Raw genomic sequence first — 17165 nt, forward strand, 5'->3', positions numbered from 1 at the left:
TATGTGTTATGTCAGGTAGGTTGTCTTTTTATCCCCAATTTTACACAAGATAAAACTGAGGCTCAGGCTTTAAACTTGGTAGAGCAGGACATTTAGCCTGGTTCAGCCTGATTCCATGTTGGCCTTGGAGTTTCACTGGGAGTCCATGTTCTTAACCATTATGCTTTTTAAAAGTTCTCATCCTGGCTTAACCATCATCTGTGACACTTTCAAAAATACTGAGATTGAGGCCACTGGTTTGATGTGGGGCTCGGCCACTGAGTTTCTTTAAAACCTTCCTGGATGTTTGGAATATGTAGATAGGGTTGAAACCATAGTACGTTGCGTATATACCACCACCCTTCCATCTCAGAACAGATGCTGCAAATCCAGAGTTACATAAATTCAAAGTAAGGGACACAGAGCTTTAGCAAACCATGGGCAGTCAATAAGTGCTTATTAGATTTGTGAATTAAGAAGTTTTAAAATAGCATTCACTGCAATTTTAATAAATCAGATAACAGGTGTTCATTTTGGGCAAGTCGAAGAGTCCAGGAAACTGGAGGAATATAATGTTACCCACAATTTGAGAACCCCTTTTTGTGAGGCCTCAGGAGGTAGGAAGAGGTAGGCGTTGTTCTTCCCACATTAGAGCAAGAAAAGCAGCCCCAGGAAGGCTCAGCGATTTCCCTAAGTAGGGGTATTTTGGGGGTTGGTTTTTATAGATGGTGGGCAAGGGGATAATAGTGTAAATTTTGTACTTTGAGCTTTTGGGTAAATAGGCAGATTCTGAAACCATTGTGTTGTATCTACTGATTACTATAAAGGCACAGATCCAGGCTCTTTGTTAACTCCCTGGCAGACTGAGTGCTTCCAAGTGCAATTTCCCTCCCCTCCTTTCTTTAGAAATTACCTCGAGCTGCAAAGTGAGTTGGGCTCAGGTTGGCATGCAGGCATTTTCCATTCCAAGGGACAGGAAGTGGCTGTGAATCTTGTAACCTGTATTCCTTCTTTGAGAGTCTATAGAGTTGGAAATAAAGACACAGAAGTCTCCTGAGTGCCCTGGCAGTGCTTCCCTGGATGAAGGGTTTGGGGAGAACTTCTAGAGAGCCAGACTTTCATTACCGAAACTCCCCATCTTTCTCCCCAAACCCAAAGTAGCAGTGAGACCTGCTGATCACCTTCATGTAAAAGAATAGTAATAATCCCCCCGAATCCTGTCCAAACCACAGAACCCTGCAGGTTTTGGACGAGTCCCGCCATAAAACCACTTTCCCATGACTTCCCGAACAGTAAACCCCAGCTTGGGTACCAGGGAATGGCGCTTTCAGTTTTTAATGGACTGCAGCTGAAGCAAGTTCAAAAGTGCGAGGATTGTAAACTTGAGAGCAACTCTGCAGATGCCGCACACCGTGGCAGAATGATTCAGGGGGCCAAACTTTGCCTCATCAAGTCAGAGAATTTTCTGCAAATGAACTTTTCAAGAATTATGCCGTCGTTGGCATTACAGTATTACACACATGCCTGTTCCCGATCACTCACTGGAACTTATTTTGTAGTTAACCTCCATAAAGGACTGTGCGAGCGAGCACAGGCCTGTCACACACACATTATTTAGAAGCCCTTATTATTATTTTATTGCCAGTCCTTGACAGCTGAGGAAAAGCCAAGCGCTTTAATCTTTTTTTCCCTTTAGTTTACAGTGTAAGAGCTGCATGTAAGATGGATTTGATTAATATGTAACAGAGATGCAATTCTCTGTAAAATGTGCTGTACTTTAGCACCCTGGAAAACAAACTGCATCACAATGGCTTAAATCTCGGTCCATTGTATTATATAGACATCATAAATAATAGAGAGCAGGCAGATATTGCTGCAGGCTTCATCTGCATAACACATCTGAGCTCTCTATAATGTGTTCAACTTGTCACTTTTAGTACAGAAGAGAGGTAATAAAGCTAACAGCTGACTAACACACATCAGCCCTACTTCTACTTCCAGGGGGGTGAATGCTCATTAAGCCATCTTAGCCCTGACTTTTAAAATCCATAACTCTTACAAATGTAAAAAAGTTGCCGCAAAAGATTAAGCGCATAATATATGTCAAAGTATAATGTTTTATGCATCTCCCCCAACTACCACTCCCCGCTGCCGCCGCCACCACCACACCAAAAGTCTGGTTTCTTTTATAGCCTTCTCACTAGACGAAAGAAAATAAAAAATCTGGTTCTCAGATAAAACCAAATGAAATATTATTTTCCCAGCATCACTAAGGGACTAGGTAATTGCTTTTGAGTTTGAAGCACATGAGCTGACCCCAAGAAGGTTGAAGATTGAAACCTTTCCCCCTCTCCTCTAAGACCAGCTCAAAGGAAACAGGGAGCTTGGGCCCAGGAGTTTGAGACCAGCCTGGGCAACATAGGAACACCCTATCTTTACCCACCAATAAATAAGCCAGGCAGGTGTGTGGTGCGTGCCTGTGGTCTCAGCTACTGGGGGGGTGGTGAGGCAGGAGGATTGCTTAACCTGGGAGGTTGAGGCTGCAGTGAGCTATGATTACACCACCGCACTCCAGCCTGGGTGATAGAGCGAGACCCTGTCTCAAAAAAAAAAAAAAAAAAAATAGGGAATCAGTCATCCCCACTGGGACCTTGCAGACAGGCCACTAGATCAGTCTTAGCTGCCTTAAGCACGCCCTTACATTTACTTGCCTCAGTTTCCCTATTGGAAACCAGAAGGGAGTAAACCCCTCCATTTTCTTTCTGAGGGGACTATAAGGCCGAGTTCAGCACTGCTTGTCATTTACTTGCCTCAGTTTCCCTATCAGAAGTCAGAAGAGAGGAAACCCCTCCATTCCCTCTCTGAGAGGACTACAAGGCTGAGTTCAGCACTGCTTGTGCAATCACAGTTGACAGAGGTTTCAGAGTCTCTGTTGTGCTCTTCTGATTAGCAGTCTTGTGTTTTAGAGGAAAATTTGAAAACATTACGGTATGTCATTTTCTGTAATGATGGCTGAGCCTTTTTAGGGATTAAGGCTGTCAGGCAGAAAAGAGAAAAGGATGTTTATACTCTTAACTCAGAGCAGATTTAATCCTATGGGATGCATTTTGGTGGGCTAGGGGAGCATTGTGGTCTCTTTCTCGGGGAGGCTGTGATGTATACAGTACACGGATGTGCATGTCTCATGACATTCATCTCTTTCGAAAATATACTTTAGAACATTTCTCTTGGAGCTCCTAAGAAAAATAAATGGTTGGTGGTGGCCCGGATGGTAGGAAGACAGGTTAGGATGAAACAGGAAATTTTTCTTAGTAGTTATAAATCTCTCAAGGGGAAAAGTTAGAGCCCCAACACTTGACTCATTTAGAACAAGTTGAACCAACCTCTGAAAAATAAACTCACAGGGGGAAAAAAAAAAAAAAAAAAAAACCATAAAAAATCCTGCATGAGGTCAGGGGACTGGCATGCTAGGCTAATAGAAACTGGAAGTCAGCGCAGACATCCCAGGATGCACTAGAATAACATACTGTTTACTTCTGTGATTAGCTCAGAACTAATGGTGTGTGTGTGTGTGTGTGTGTAAGTGTGTAAGAGACCAACTGAGACACAGGGGCTTTCATTGATACCAGTGGTGCTTGTGGGCGGGGATTGAAAGACGGCTTGGTTCCCTTGGCTAGGAGTGTGGGCCTAGAACAGTAACACACTTTTCCACTGGTCACAATGACAGTTTGTTTTTGGAGAAAGCCATCATTAAACTGTGATGTGGGCCGTAGCACTGCTACCTCAGAATTCTGTTGCTGTCCACCAGGCAGGCCCTGAAAGCTCAGCTTTCCGTTGCTAGAGCCCACGCCGTCATCCCTTCTTGCCCATATTCCTGCAGCAGCTTCCAGTCTCATCTCCCAGCCTCCCGGGCTTCTGATCTCCCCCGTTCCACATGGCAGCCAGTGTGGCCACATCATTTCTCACCTCCCAGGCCTGCCATTCAAAGTCATCCACAGTTGCTTCTTTTTCTCTCTCATTGGTCTAATCCCTCACCCAGCTTCCAGCCACACTAGTCCACCCGGCTCCAGCCATGCTGGTCCATTAGATGTTTCTAGTTATGCTCAGTACTTTCCCATCTGCATTCAAGCTGTTCCTCTGGCTCAGAACACTCTTTATCTTTGTAAATTGAAGTCCTATTCCCATCTTTGAAGAGTCACCATGAACCCTACCCTTCAGGAAGACTCACTAGACCCCTACTTGAAATAGGTCTTTCGCCAGGCGCGGTGGCTCATGCCTGTAATCCCAGCACTTTGGGAGGCCAAGGCAGGCGGATCACAAGGTCAGGAGATCAAGACCATCCTGGCTAACACGGTGAAACCCCATCTCTACTAAAAATACAAAAAAAAAATAGCCGGGCATGGCGGTCAGCACCTGTAGTCCCAGCTACTCGGGAGACTGAGGCAGGAGAATGGCGTGAACCCGGGAGGCAGAGCTTGCAGTGAGCGGAGATCGCACCACTGCACTCCAGCCTGGGCAACAGAGCGAGACTCCATCTCAAAAAAAAGAAAAAAGAAATAGGTCTTTCATAAATCTGTGAGCTCACCAGTTAACTAAGTTAACTAAGGTAATCAGGTTCCTTAGTTCAGAACACACTGTCATCCTGGATCCATGGGAGGCCGCCCTTAGTTTTCCCCACTATCCTGGCCTGCTCCCCAATTCTCAGACACCCAGCCTCATGTGCCTGATATGTAACCTTGTCAAGTAGATAGTGTTCTTCTGTGTGGGTGTTTTGTTTACATAAGTGATGATATGCTATAAATCTTAGTTCTGTTTCTTGTCACTCCACATAACATTTTTAGAATCTGGCCTTGCTGGTGGTTGCACATGTGTTTGTTGCTTCTCAATAATACCGAATATTCTATAGTGCACATTCCCCTAGTATCAGATAGCTAAGGTTGCCCTCAACTTCTCCCATGAAATTAGCACCACAATCAAGCACACACTGTCACCATAACCATCCTTGTAATGTGTCTATTTATGGAATTCTGCAATCTACCTGCGGTGCATGTAAGTTCTAATTTCCAGATGTCCTTGCCCACACTTGCTGTTATTCACCTTTCTAGCTTTTGCCATCTTGATAGTATAAAGTATTATAAGGAGTTGACCATTTTTCTGAGTTTCTGATTTCTTGTTGATTTGCATTTTTGGTATAATTTAACTATGGGTCATTGGCTATTATTTTGGACACTCAAGTATCTTCTTCAAATCTGTTGCCCATTAGCTAACTGTAGTGACCTTGATGTTAAGAGATCTTTACTTTTGCTATAGTGAAACAAATACATATTTTGGCCTCACTTAATGTTCTGGGAGTATCTGGTTTAATAAGTCTTTTTCTATCCTTCGTGCACAGATATCATTTCACGTGTTCTTTTATTAGCTTCATAGTTTTATTTTTCACTTTTAGGTCTTTGTTTCACCCCATAATACTTTGTACCATTTCCTAGAGTTTGCCTTGAATTTATTTCCAATTGTGTCCTCAACCAGGTGTAAAGTCTTAGAAGAACTATGTTGCATTCTCCATCCAAGCCTCAGCTTTGCCGAGCCTTAACCTGACTGACCTACTTCCCTGTGTCCATACTGATGACATTCCTTCCCTACATTCTCAGTGGAAGACATATCACTCCTCTTGTCTCAGGTCAACTTTTTGTGCATCTGAGTATCTCCTTCCATTCCATCCTCCTCAGTGACTTCTCTTCTGTCTTCTAAGCTCTCTCGCTGTCAGCACATAAACATGCGTGTCAACTCCCCTTCTCGTGCATCTTCCTCTGGCTCCTTGTCTCTTGACCCCATTCACTTGTCATTCCTTCACAGCAACTGGCTTTGCCTCTGCCCGTTGATGGCACTGACCCATCCTCATAGAAGCTTCAGTCATTTCCACTTGCCAGGTGAAGGAGTCCCTGCATTCATCAGGCCCACCCTGAAGGGCATGTGAAATGTTACGACCACCCTTCTTGATTTTTGATTTTTTAAATGTTTTTGGTTTTGTGATATTCCCGTCTCCTCATCTTCATTTTGTCTCTCTAACAATTCTCAGATCATTTTCAGTGATTCCTCAGCCTCCACAGATTCCAAGATTATGTCCACTCTGATGGCTCTCGCCACTTTTGCATGACAATGATACTGGACTATGTCTCCATCCCAGGTCTTGCCCTTAGCTTCGGACCCATATTTTCCATAGCCAACAAGATGGCCAGGTGTCTTGTGGACACGGAACATTAAAAATGTGCCTAATCTAGGCCAGGCGTGGTGGCTCACGCCCGTAATCCCAGCACTCTGGGAGGCCGAGGTGGGCAGATCATGAAGTCAAGAGATCGAGACCATCCTGGCCAACAGGGTGAAACCCCGTCTCTACTAAAAATACAAAAATTAGCTGGGCATGGTGGTGCGTGCCTGTAATCCCAGCTACCCAGGAGGCTGCAGGAGGAGAATCGCTTGAACCTAGGAGGCTGAGGTTGCAGTGAGCTGGGATTACGCCACTGCACTCCAGTCTGGCAACAGAGCGAGACTCCGTCTAAAAAAAATAAAATAAAGTAAAAGTGTGACAAACCTAAGTTATCTTTCCTCAACCTCTGTGTCCTCTGCTGATTTTCTGATTTTTAAGTGGATCCTAAGACAGGTCTCTGGGAATTTTTCTAGACTGCCTTTTAAATCAAAGAAACAAACTTTATTATCATGTACTAATTGAATGTATCATCTCTGATCTCTCTCTTTCCCCAACCCTGTCCAAACCTGTTCCTGTATTCCCATACCCACAATTCAGCCAGTTACCAAAGCCCCACATCAGCAAGTCTCCCCAGACTCTTCCTTTGCTGAGTGCTATGTATTTTACCTCTCAAAAGACTGGCTCAGTCCATCCCTCCCTTTCCACCAAGACAGCCTCTGCTATGACGTCCTGGCTCGCCCCACCTACCATATCTGTGCTGCAGTAGACCTGGGGTACGGCCTGAGAATTTGCTTTCCTGACCAGTTCCTTGGTGATGCTGAGGCTGCTGGTCTAGACGACACTTTGGGAACTACTGCTTCCGTTGATTTTTCCCATCCATCAATTGGCTCATTCAACAAGTAGTTATTGAGTACCAGTGTCAAGTTCTGGAATTCAACAATGAAGAAAACAAGGTCATCTATTGAAAAGGTTGTGGAGGGAACAAACAAAGAATAAATTCATCTATAATGTGATGTGTAAGTGATACATGCTAACAATGGTTAGCATTTATAAATGGTTGAAGGGACGGAGGAGTGGTGATGGAGAGGGAGTCGTCAGGGAAGACTTGCTATTTAGGAAAATTTTGAGCAGATACCTAGAGGGAAGAGCATTCCAAACAGAGGGAACTGCACGTTCTTGTGCTTTAACCATCCTAAAACACAGTCCCGACTCTATCACTTCCCTCGCGGGGTCAACAGCAGCCACGTTTGACTGCCATTCTGCGCTCTCCACGAACTGTCTCCCACACCCTTTTCCACACATCGTCTCGCACCCAGACTGACCTGACTTCTCCCAGGTCTCTCTGCTGACATTTCACTTGCCTCCCCTGGGGCACTTATTTGTGCTATTCACCCCCACCCCTCCTACCTTCCAGCAAATGCCCTTCTTGTGTGTTTGCCTCATGCCAGATCCTGTAATTCATTCAACGTTTGCTTCCATTTCCACCTCCTCCATGAAGCCTTCCAGAATCATCCCCTTTGAAAGTGCCCTCTTCCTCCTCATTCCAGAAACATTTATCCCCAGAAGTGCTGCATAACCCTTGTGGCATCTCACCCTTGTATATTCCTCACCTGGCCCAACTCTGTAGTCCAGCAAATGCGTAGTAGACCTTGGGTGAAGGATGGCCCAGAAGTGTTTCTCCTGCTCCTTGACCTCTCCAAGAGGCGGGCCTCTGGTATTTCCTAAACGCTGGTGGCTTTACTGTTGAATCAGAGCAAAAGGAGAAAGGAAAGGCCATGGCCTAAAATGGAGTATTGGAATGATCTCTGGGTTTCTCTGTTTATCCCAGCTTTCTTTCTGTGCTATTACCAAGATAATTGAGTTGGAAATACTAGTAGCATTTCCTTCATCTTCCTTCAGGCTCACAAGCGTTCTTCACCCAAAGGGAGGGAGATTAATTGACTTCTTTTATCTTCCATTCAAATGAGGCTTTCATGTGAATCGCTCCCACCCTCCCGCCCCCTCAGCCCTCCCAACCTCCCCTCATTCATTAGGAGCTGGACATGAAAAGGAGAGCATCTAAAACTCTGCAGAGTCCCTGGATCTCCCCAGACCCCTCTCTTCCCTCATTCCCCGCCAAACATTTCTGACCTGGCATCACAACAGTTCACGTGAGAAGTGTCACGGTGGGGCAGAGCAGATCCAACCGGAAGCTGCACCAGCCACTGAACTCTCTCCACACCACCAGATGGTCTGGTGCTGCAGCAGCCTTTCAGAATTAATAACTCTCCCTCCAGAGGGGCAGCTTCATTCAGGAACCGTTTCACATTTTCCAGCTAAGTGTGGTTTTTTCCCATAGAGTTTTCTGGCCGCTCTGTTCTGGGCAGACCATGGGGCCTGCTCACGAAGGCAAGAGATGTATCTTGCCTTCCCTCCACCTTTCTTTGCCTTTGGCTTCTGACAGCGCAGCTTTTAATCTGGAAATTATGGTAACTTGTATGTGCATTTTGAGAGTATATCATTGCTGCATTTAATTAACGGTTATTAGTGTTAGCGTACTGTGCTGTATTCTATGTCACAAATCATCAAGTCTCCCAGAGCAGTTACAGCAATTAAGAACTCCATCACACCTTCTGTATAGTCATTTGGTACTTTTCCAGGTCTTTTCAAAACTGGAAATTACTAATCAAATCATTTCTGCTGTGTGCCTCAGTATCGTTTATTCCATTCCTAATGATGTGCGACTTTTTTTTCTTTGGCCGTTAACAGAGGCATCCGTGCGTCTAACCCATTTCACACCACCGTCATGCTTTAGCGAGGCGATAATGAACTTGCAGAAGGAAATGCAGGCTTTGGTTCTCTTTTCAGAGCAGTGTCTTTCCTCTCCTGCTGTTGGGTGATTGAATTTTGAAACTGTAAAATGCATCGACAGACCTACAAACCTGACTTGCCAGAGCCACAGCCATCACAGTTGAGCTTCAATTCAGAGCTCAGTGCGACTCCTGCCTGATCAATTTGTCATCCCTCTAAATGGAAACTAATTACTTCCCAGGGAAAGATTGCAGGCAAATATCAGCCTTTGCATCAGCAGCCCTCTGCAGTGAGGTTAAGGCAGAGTCCATGGGGTTTCACCAGAGGGGCCATTTCCCTCTCTGCCTCCGTCATGTCAGGAAGAATTTTTATTATTTAGAGCAGCAGTGAGCTTGCCGTCACATCCACTAAGGTCAGCCGTCAAGCGTGCATCTCACTTAATAGGTCACCTGGACGGTCCCAAGTCAAATGTCAGAGGCCATTCAACTGCCAGGTTGCAACAAAAACACCCTGGCAGGCTTTTGATGGTGTTTAGATGGGGATGAGCCAGCCCGCTGGAGGGGAGCCCACCGCCTCTGGCCCCCCAAGGGGATTCTCTTTTTCTTTATGCCCAAGAACACTGCCCTGGAAGCATCCCCGGAATGACTGAATCATTGCCATTTGTGCGGCATCGAACAGACTGTGCCGCTGACAGCTGTAGGCAAGATTGACTCCGATGCAGTGCCAGGAGATCTAGGCCATGCAAGGCGGCTGCTCAAGGCCCGCTCTAGTGCGAGGGCCCTGGCTCAGGGCAGCAGGGCTGGCCCAGAAGCTGGGGCCAGGACCGGGCCAGCCAGCTCAGAGGCTGTTGAACAATCTGATCAGAGGAGGGCCTTGCCAGTTCCCTACCTTTGCCCATTTTGGATGCTGTTCTGCTCTGGCCTTGCTGCTCATCATTCCAGGCTGGCTGAGCAGTTTCAAACTCAGGGCTGATCCTGCCACCTCTGTGTCTGGGCTGAGCTGCAAGGTCTTTAGCCCAGCATTGCTCAGTCTTGGACATTCTCCCAGCAGAAGTCAGACAAGACCCAGGAGAGAAGTTTGTTTTGTTCAGCAGCTGATTGGATCCGCTCACTGTTGACTTGTGTTCCATGTTGGAGAATGCGTTCTGGTCCCCCTGAGCTGATATAAAGGAGCCCAAACTCAAATCTGTGCCCATTCCACGTTTCCCCTCTACTCCAGGATGGAGAGTTTTTCCTCTCATTCTTATCCACACAGCGAAAAACACTAGACACAGTGAGAAACGCTGGACGGCTCTGGGGGCCGTGGGAGCTGGGATGAGCACTGAACTTCTCTAGGCCTCAGCCCACTTCGCTCTGCAAGCCCTGAATGTGCCTGGACAAGATGACCGGTAAAGGCCATTCCAGCTCTCTGTGCTTTGTAGCCTGAGTCCCTGTGAGGAGTGGTTTGCTTTGAAACACAATATAATCCAGAAAAAACAGCTATCTTAACTTGGCCAGCTCTGCTTTTAAGCAAGAAATAAAGTGATGGTTTCTTGAAAATGATGCTGGCCTTTATAATGCCTTCTCCCTTAATCTCCCCACAAACTGAGACAAGGCATCCTGGGTCACACCCTGGCTCGTCTCCTGTGTGATGTGTTTTCTGGGACTTGCACTTTGGTAACCAGAGGAGACTGCCAACTGGGTATCATACCTGTCTCTCAACCCCTCTTCTGCCCACCACCCTCTCTCAGCCTCCCTATTCCCTGAAGCTAGCATGCCAGGGAGGCAGGTGGCATACGTGGTACAAGGACTGCATGCGCACATTTTGGAATGAAACAGTGGCCTTTCTTTGGAACTCAGACCATCCAGTGTGCTCTGGCTAAAGACAGGATTGTAGATCTAAGAAGTCCATTGTACTGATTAGTTTCATCTCAGTTTAAGCCACTGACCTACCAAGAGTATCCATTCAGGAAATGTCACCCCATGGCCTGATGTAGTGGTAGGAGACTGGAAATAGCTGAGTGATGACGGCATGTACACTCAGCATTGCTTAGCCTTGGGCAGGTACCGAACCTTTCTTTGCCTCGGTTTCTCATTTATAACATGGGAATAATGATAGTACTTACCTCTTCAGGGTTCTGGTGAGGGTTCCATGAACTAAAACACATGAAGAGTCTAGAATTGTTCCTGTGCTGTCCTAGGCCCAGGATGAATGTGAGCTGCTGTGGTTACAGCTAGTGTCATAGTACTCCGCCCCCCTCCACCACCAGACTACCACAGTTTCCTGCATTCTGTGATGCCGTCAGCTCACTGAGTCACCTTCACCAACACCTTTCACGCCTCTGGACTTCAGCTTTCTCATCTGCAGCACGAGGGAGAGGAATGGGCTGAGGCTTGCCATGGTGCTTTCAGGGACAGGCGTGGGAGCATCTGTGGTGAGTTTGCAGTTCTGTGTTGTATATGTCTGCACCAATGAGAGTTTCATGATCTTGAATTTATACATTCATATCATGAAGCACAACCTAGTAGCATGTTTAGATGTAGAAACACGATATAAAAACAAAACAGAATTTGTTTTGGTTTTTGGTTTTTTGTTTTGTTTCGTTTTGTTTTTTGAGACAGTCTCACTTTGTCACCCAGGCTGGAGTGCAGTGGCGTAATCTTGGCTCACTGCGACCTCCGCCTCCCCCTTTCAAGCAATTCTCCTGTCTCAGCCTCCCAAGTAGCTGGGATTGCAGGCATGCACTACCACGCTCAGCTAATTTTTTTTTAAATTTTTGGTAGAGACAGGGCTTCACCATGTTGGCCAAGCTGGTCTCGAACTCCTTACCTCAAATGATCTGCCTGCCTTGGCCTCCTAAAATGCTGAGATTACAGATATGAGCCACCGCGCCCAGCCCTGGAAGGAACCTTTGTTAAGAGTTCATAGTAACAGGGTGCTAAAATGAGTTTATTAAAATAATCCCAGTAGATGAAAGATTAGGAGATCTCTTTTGAGGAAATTAGAGAGTTTAGATCTGTTTTGAAATTAGGGAATGCCTTTTCCTATTGACCTAAGTCTCTGATTATATATGTCAACCTCAGCTTACGGAAAGAAGCTGACATGTCAAAATAAGAAGAATAGGCTGGATATGGTGGCTCATGCCTGTAATCCCAGCACTTTGGAGGCTGAGGCAGGTGGATTGCTTTAGCTCAGAAGTTTGAGACCTTTAGATTAGAAGTTTGAGACCTTTAGATTAGAAGTTTGAGACCAGCCTGGGCAACATCACGAAACCCCATGGAGCATGTCTGTGGTCTCAGCTACTTGGGTGTTTGAGGTGGAAGGATTACTGGACCGCAGGAGGTGGAGGTGGCAATGAGCCAAGATCATGCCCCTGCACTCTGGCCTGGCAGAGTGAGACCCTGTCTCAAAAAAAATAAAAAAGTAAGATGAATAAACAATGGTTAATAGAAACATAAGTGGTGGGACATGGGGGTCAGGATTTAATCTCAGAGTGTCCCAGTGGTGATTTATTTTATTTATTTATTTATTTATTTATTTATTTATTTATTTATTTTTTGAGACGGAGTCTCGCACTGTCACCCGGGCTGGAGTGCAGTAGTGCGATCTTGGCTTGCTGCAGCCTCTGCCTCCTGGGTTCAAACGATTTTCTTGCCTCAGCCTCCCAAGCAGCCAGGATTACAGGTGCCCACCACCATGCCCAGCTAATTTTTTGTATTTTTAGTAGAGATGGGCCTTCACCATGTTGGCCAGGCTGGTCTTGAATTCTGGACCTCGTGATTCACCCGCCTCGGTGTCCAAAGTGCTGGGATTATAGGCGTGAGCCACCGCACCCGGCCCCAGTGGTGATTTTGTAGGTCAGCAGAGATGATCTGTGTGCCACATTTCCTTGTAGCTTAACAATGGGCCTCAATCATGTGGTGCTTGGGTTCTTAGAATGTGGACAGCCAAGACATTCCAGCCACAAGTAACAGAACAAAATGGCTTCAACCATGGCAGGGGGGCGGGTGTGAGTAGTGTTTCTAAATGGGACTGGTTAAGTATTTTGGGGCACGGATTGGCTTCTCTGCCATTCTCTTAGCTTTCTCCTCATGATTTCAAGATGGCCGCCATAGTTATCAGACACTATTTCCTCAGGAAGCCACACTCACAGACAGGAAGGAAAGGTGTTCTTCCTCACGTACCTCTTTTTATCAGGAGGAAATTCTTTTCTAGAGACCCCATAGCAAACTTCCCCTCAGGTTTCACTGGCCAGAACTGGGTTACATACCGTCTCCTAAAACAGTCACCGTCCAAGAATAATGGGATTGCCAAGGGTGGCCTGAGCCTCCTGTAACAGGGGAAGACCACCTGCCCACAGCATGGCGCCATGCAGTACCTGAACAAAACCTGGGTTCAGTGAACTTGAGGGCTCTTGCCTGGGCAACCAACAGGGTCTGTCTGGGACCTTAAAGTCACTGATTCTGACTTAGCACTTAGGAATCAGGCATGTGGTTTAATCTCTCTGAATGTCAAAGAATGTGAGCTGGTCAAGAGCAGATCTAGAACTAGAATCTCTTTTCTCTTACTGTGACTCTCATCCCCACTCAGCTTTCTTCCTGGAATTATTTTTACTTTCAAATGTGTGAAGTCAGACATACAACAATTGTGCATTTCACTTGAAACTAGTATCTCGTTGATTGCTACCAAGAATGTTGTTTAAAATTGAGAAGTACATACATTTACCTCTACATATCTCCAGTGAACTTCTGTGACCATTAACTGTCAATTTTATCAGATTCATTTTACACGCAAAGCAAACACATCTACACCCTTGTCTCAAGAAGTTTCCAGGCTAGATGAAAAAACTGTTCCTGTACCCATGACAGTTAGACATAAATTAATAGTGCCAACTAATTGATTGATGACCAGAGTTCAAATCAGGGGAAGAAAGGATCACGTTGAGGGCATGGCTGAGGCCCAAGAGAATGATTTCAATGGACAGAGAGGAAGGAGGAGGAAGTCCGAATGGGATGAAGATAATGTTGATAGTAATGATCAACATTACAGTTATGAGCACTTGCTGATATGAGTAATGATCAACTACAGTTATTGAGCACTTGCTGTTTGAGATAAAGTTCTAAGCACTTTACATGTCTTAACTTATTTCATCCTCACAAAAGCTATTATGAGATGGGATTATTGTCTTCTCATTATTTCCGCTATATAGATAAGGATCATGACATACAAAGAAGTTAAATAAGGTACCCAGTGCCCTAGAGTTAGTAAATGGTAAAGCTGGACCCAGGTAATGTGGCTTCATAGCCTGCCCCCTCTCTGGTGCTCAGCCTCATTTACTGTAGCAAACTCACGAAACTGGGAAACCCAGGGTTTTGTGAGGCGACTTCTGTACAGGTGTTCCTTAACTTACATTGGGGTTACATCCCGATAAACCCTTCATACGTGGAAAATATTTTAAGTCAAAAATGCATTTAATACACTTAACCTACTGAGCATTGTAGCTTAGCCCAGCCCCCCTTAAACACGCTCAAAACACTTACATTAGCCTACCATCGGGCAGAATCAACTAACATAAGCCTGTTTCATAATAAAGTGTTGAGGATCTCATGTAATTTATTGAATACTGTACTGAAAGTGAAAAACAAGATGGTTGTATGGGTACCTGAAGTGCAGTTTCTACTGAGTGCATATTGCTTTCATACCAGCATAAAGTCGAAAAATCGTAAGCTGAGCCATCGGAAGTTAGGGACCATCTGTATGTTGATTTAGCTGAAGGGAGGATTTATAGGCAAAATAGTGAGATAAAAGGTAGGGAAAGTTTTCACTGAATTCAGAAGTATTTGGAACTGGGGCTGGTCATCTGGATCCCAGAAAACACTGGCAAACACACGCACAGAAATGCACAGAAAAAGAATACCCCAACATTGAACACCAAAGGCCCTCAGACTTTGGCGCCTCCATTTTGAAGGTGAGGGATGTTTCTATGTGTCTGTAAGCAGTGAAGACATCACCGGATTATGATCACATCATACATTGCACACGCCGTCACGGTTGCACGTTGCTCTAATCCCATGTATATTACTGTGTCTATTTGGAAAGCTGCAAGAGCCATTTATTTATGAGTGACTAAGTGGTAGTTGACTGCCTTCAACTCCTCATGTTTTACAAAGTAGGAATCCACAGAGAATAGCAGTAACCAATACACCAAACCACCTTCATTTTGAGATGAATACTGAGAAGTCTTTCATTACTCTGCAGTATAAAGTGTTTACTAAACAGAATTAAGCCACAGCATAATACCCTGCCTTCCTTCTTCTCTATTTGATTCGTCCTACTTAACACCAGCAAAAGTACTTCTGCCATTTTTTTTTTAGGGTTAGACAATTTATGCCATTTAAAGTGTAAAAATGGAATTTACTTGGCAGTTAGAGGGAAAAGAATTGACATTATCTAGACACAAGGAGTTCATGGGTATAAAGTCTCAGATCATCATTTCTGCTAAAGATCAAGTACCTAAGTAAATGTAAAAGACTACACTGAGAGAGACATCCCCAGTTGGAAAATGTGCCAAGTCATAGAAAATTGTGGTAGCCCTGAATTTTCAAGAATGGTTTTGGCCAGATGTGGTGGCGTGCGCCTGTAGTCTCAGCTACTCGAGAGGCTGAGGCAGGAGGATCATTTGAACCCAGGAGTTTGAGTTCAGCCTGGGCAACATAGCAAGACCCTGTGTCTTACTTTTTTAAAAAAAGAATGGTTTTATTGGTGTATTTTGATTATTGTAAACTAATTGTAGACTCTAATTTACTCTTGGATATTGAGATCTGTTTTGACTCTTGGCAATGGTGGTGTTTTTTGGTGATTGGTTGATGTTTTATCTGGCCTGATATCCAGATTCTTTTTTGTAATGTACATACTCTTTCCTGATATCGTTTATATGACAATCCTCCCCTCCCCTTATTTAAATAGAGGTTTAAAAGTTTAACAAGCCCAGGTGTGGTGGCTCATGCCTATAATCCCAGCACTTTGGGAGGTCAAGAGAGGAGGATCACTTGAGCCCAGGAATTCAAGACCAGCCTGGGCAACATAGGAAGACTCTATCTCTACAAAAAAATAAAAAATCAACCAGGCATGGTGGTACACACCTGCAGTCCTACCTACTCAGGAGGCTGAGACAGGAGGATTGCTTTCGAGGCTGCATGAGCTATGATCATGCCACTGCACTCCAGCTTGGGCAATAGAGTGAGACCTTGTCTCAAAAAAAAATTAATAACCCTATCTCTCATACTTTTATATTTTCTCTTTGGAAACCTAACCCTCAATATATTTCAAATGCCTTGTAAATGGCTTTTGAAGAATGCTTCACACTGGATACCTGGGTTCTAATCCTAATTCTAATACTTAACTGTGAACACGGATGAAGTATGTCAGTCTCTGTGATCCTTACGCCCTAGACTTCCCTTCCCCAAGTGGTTTGCCACCATTACCAATTAAAATCCTATACCTCTCTGAGATCCAGTTCAAATGCTACTTCTTGAAGCTCTTTTTGATACTGCTTTCTCACTTTCCTCAAGAGGCCATTATGTCCTGTCCTTTTGAAGGGCATGTTTCTCAAAAGCCAAGGTTGTACCTTTAGTTTCTTGAGAGCCAAGGTTGCATCTTTAGTATCTTCAGTCATCTTTGCACCCCAGAATGTTTAGCACAGAGCTTGCCCATGATGGCTACTCAAATGCTGAAAGGATGAATGACTAAATAAATCTTGAGATCAGTTGTATTTTTTTCTTTAAAATAACTGGCTACAGTCACTGGCTCTCAACCCTGGTGTTGGGCTCATGGGGACATTGTAATCAGTTGTAAGCGGGTTGAAGTGATTTGTTATGAATGATTGTTAGGTTTTGGAAGTTTGCAAACTATGTACTGTTTGTATAAATTAGAATGTTTCCCTTCAGTAATATTCTTTAATGATAATATCATCATCCTGCAGTGTTAATACTTCAGTGTGACACTCTCCCTTGCATTGTGATTTGTCTTAAATGGAAGAAAAAAGGATGGACTTAGAGTCAGGACCCAGGAAATTGTATGTTAATCCACAGCCTATCTTTTCTGTGCCAAAGCCCATAATAAGCCAGAAATCACTGCTAATGGTTATGGAACTATGGAAATATGATAGTCCTCTACTACTGTACGAGATGTGGGGGCCTTGTCAAAATGAACA

The 17165-nt window shown here is 44.7% G+C and overlaps 1 protein-coding gene across 26 annotated transcripts in view, besides 3 other annotated features; it reads left to right on the forward strand.

Moving 5' to 3' along the window:
- Nucleotides 1-17165, forward strand: part of AUTS2 (activator of transcription and developmental regulator AUTS2) — a 1195032-nt gene that overhangs the window by 1038560 nt on the left and 139307 nt on the right. The gene's annotated exons all lie outside the window — the stretch shown is intronic.
- Nucleotides 1103-2311: an enhancer, noted in NCBI's record as "VISTA enhancer hs925". NCBI's record gives its function as "enhancer in: neural tube[8/15] | limb[8/15]" and the evidence as "EXISTENCE:transgenic organism evidence [ECO:0001131][PMID:17130149]".
- Nucleotides 9699-10198: an enhancer, noted in NCBI's record as "H3K4me1 hESC enhancer chr7:70111719-70112218 (GRCh37/hg19 assembly coordinates)". NCBI's record gives its function as "activates a minimal SCP1, AML or CMV promoter by ChIP-STARR-seq in primed H9 embryonic stem cells {active_cell/tissue: H9 hESC(primed)}" and the evidence as "EXISTENCE:reporter gene assay evidence [ECO:0000049][PMID:30033119]".
- Nucleotides 11422-11471: an enhancer, noted in NCBI's record as "active region_26110". NCBI's record gives its function as "activates an Ori minimal core promoter by ATAC-STARR-seq in GM12878 lymphoblastoid cells {active_cell/tissue: GM12878}" and the evidence as "EXISTENCE:reporter gene assay evidence [ECO:0000049][PMID:35858748]".

This window comes from Homo sapiens, chromosome 7, assembly GCF_000001405.40.
Source record: "Homo sapiens chromosome 7, GRCh38.p14 Primary Assembly".
Lineage (NCBI taxonomy): Eukaryota > Metazoa > Chordata > Mammalia > Primates > Hominidae > Homo > Homo sapiens.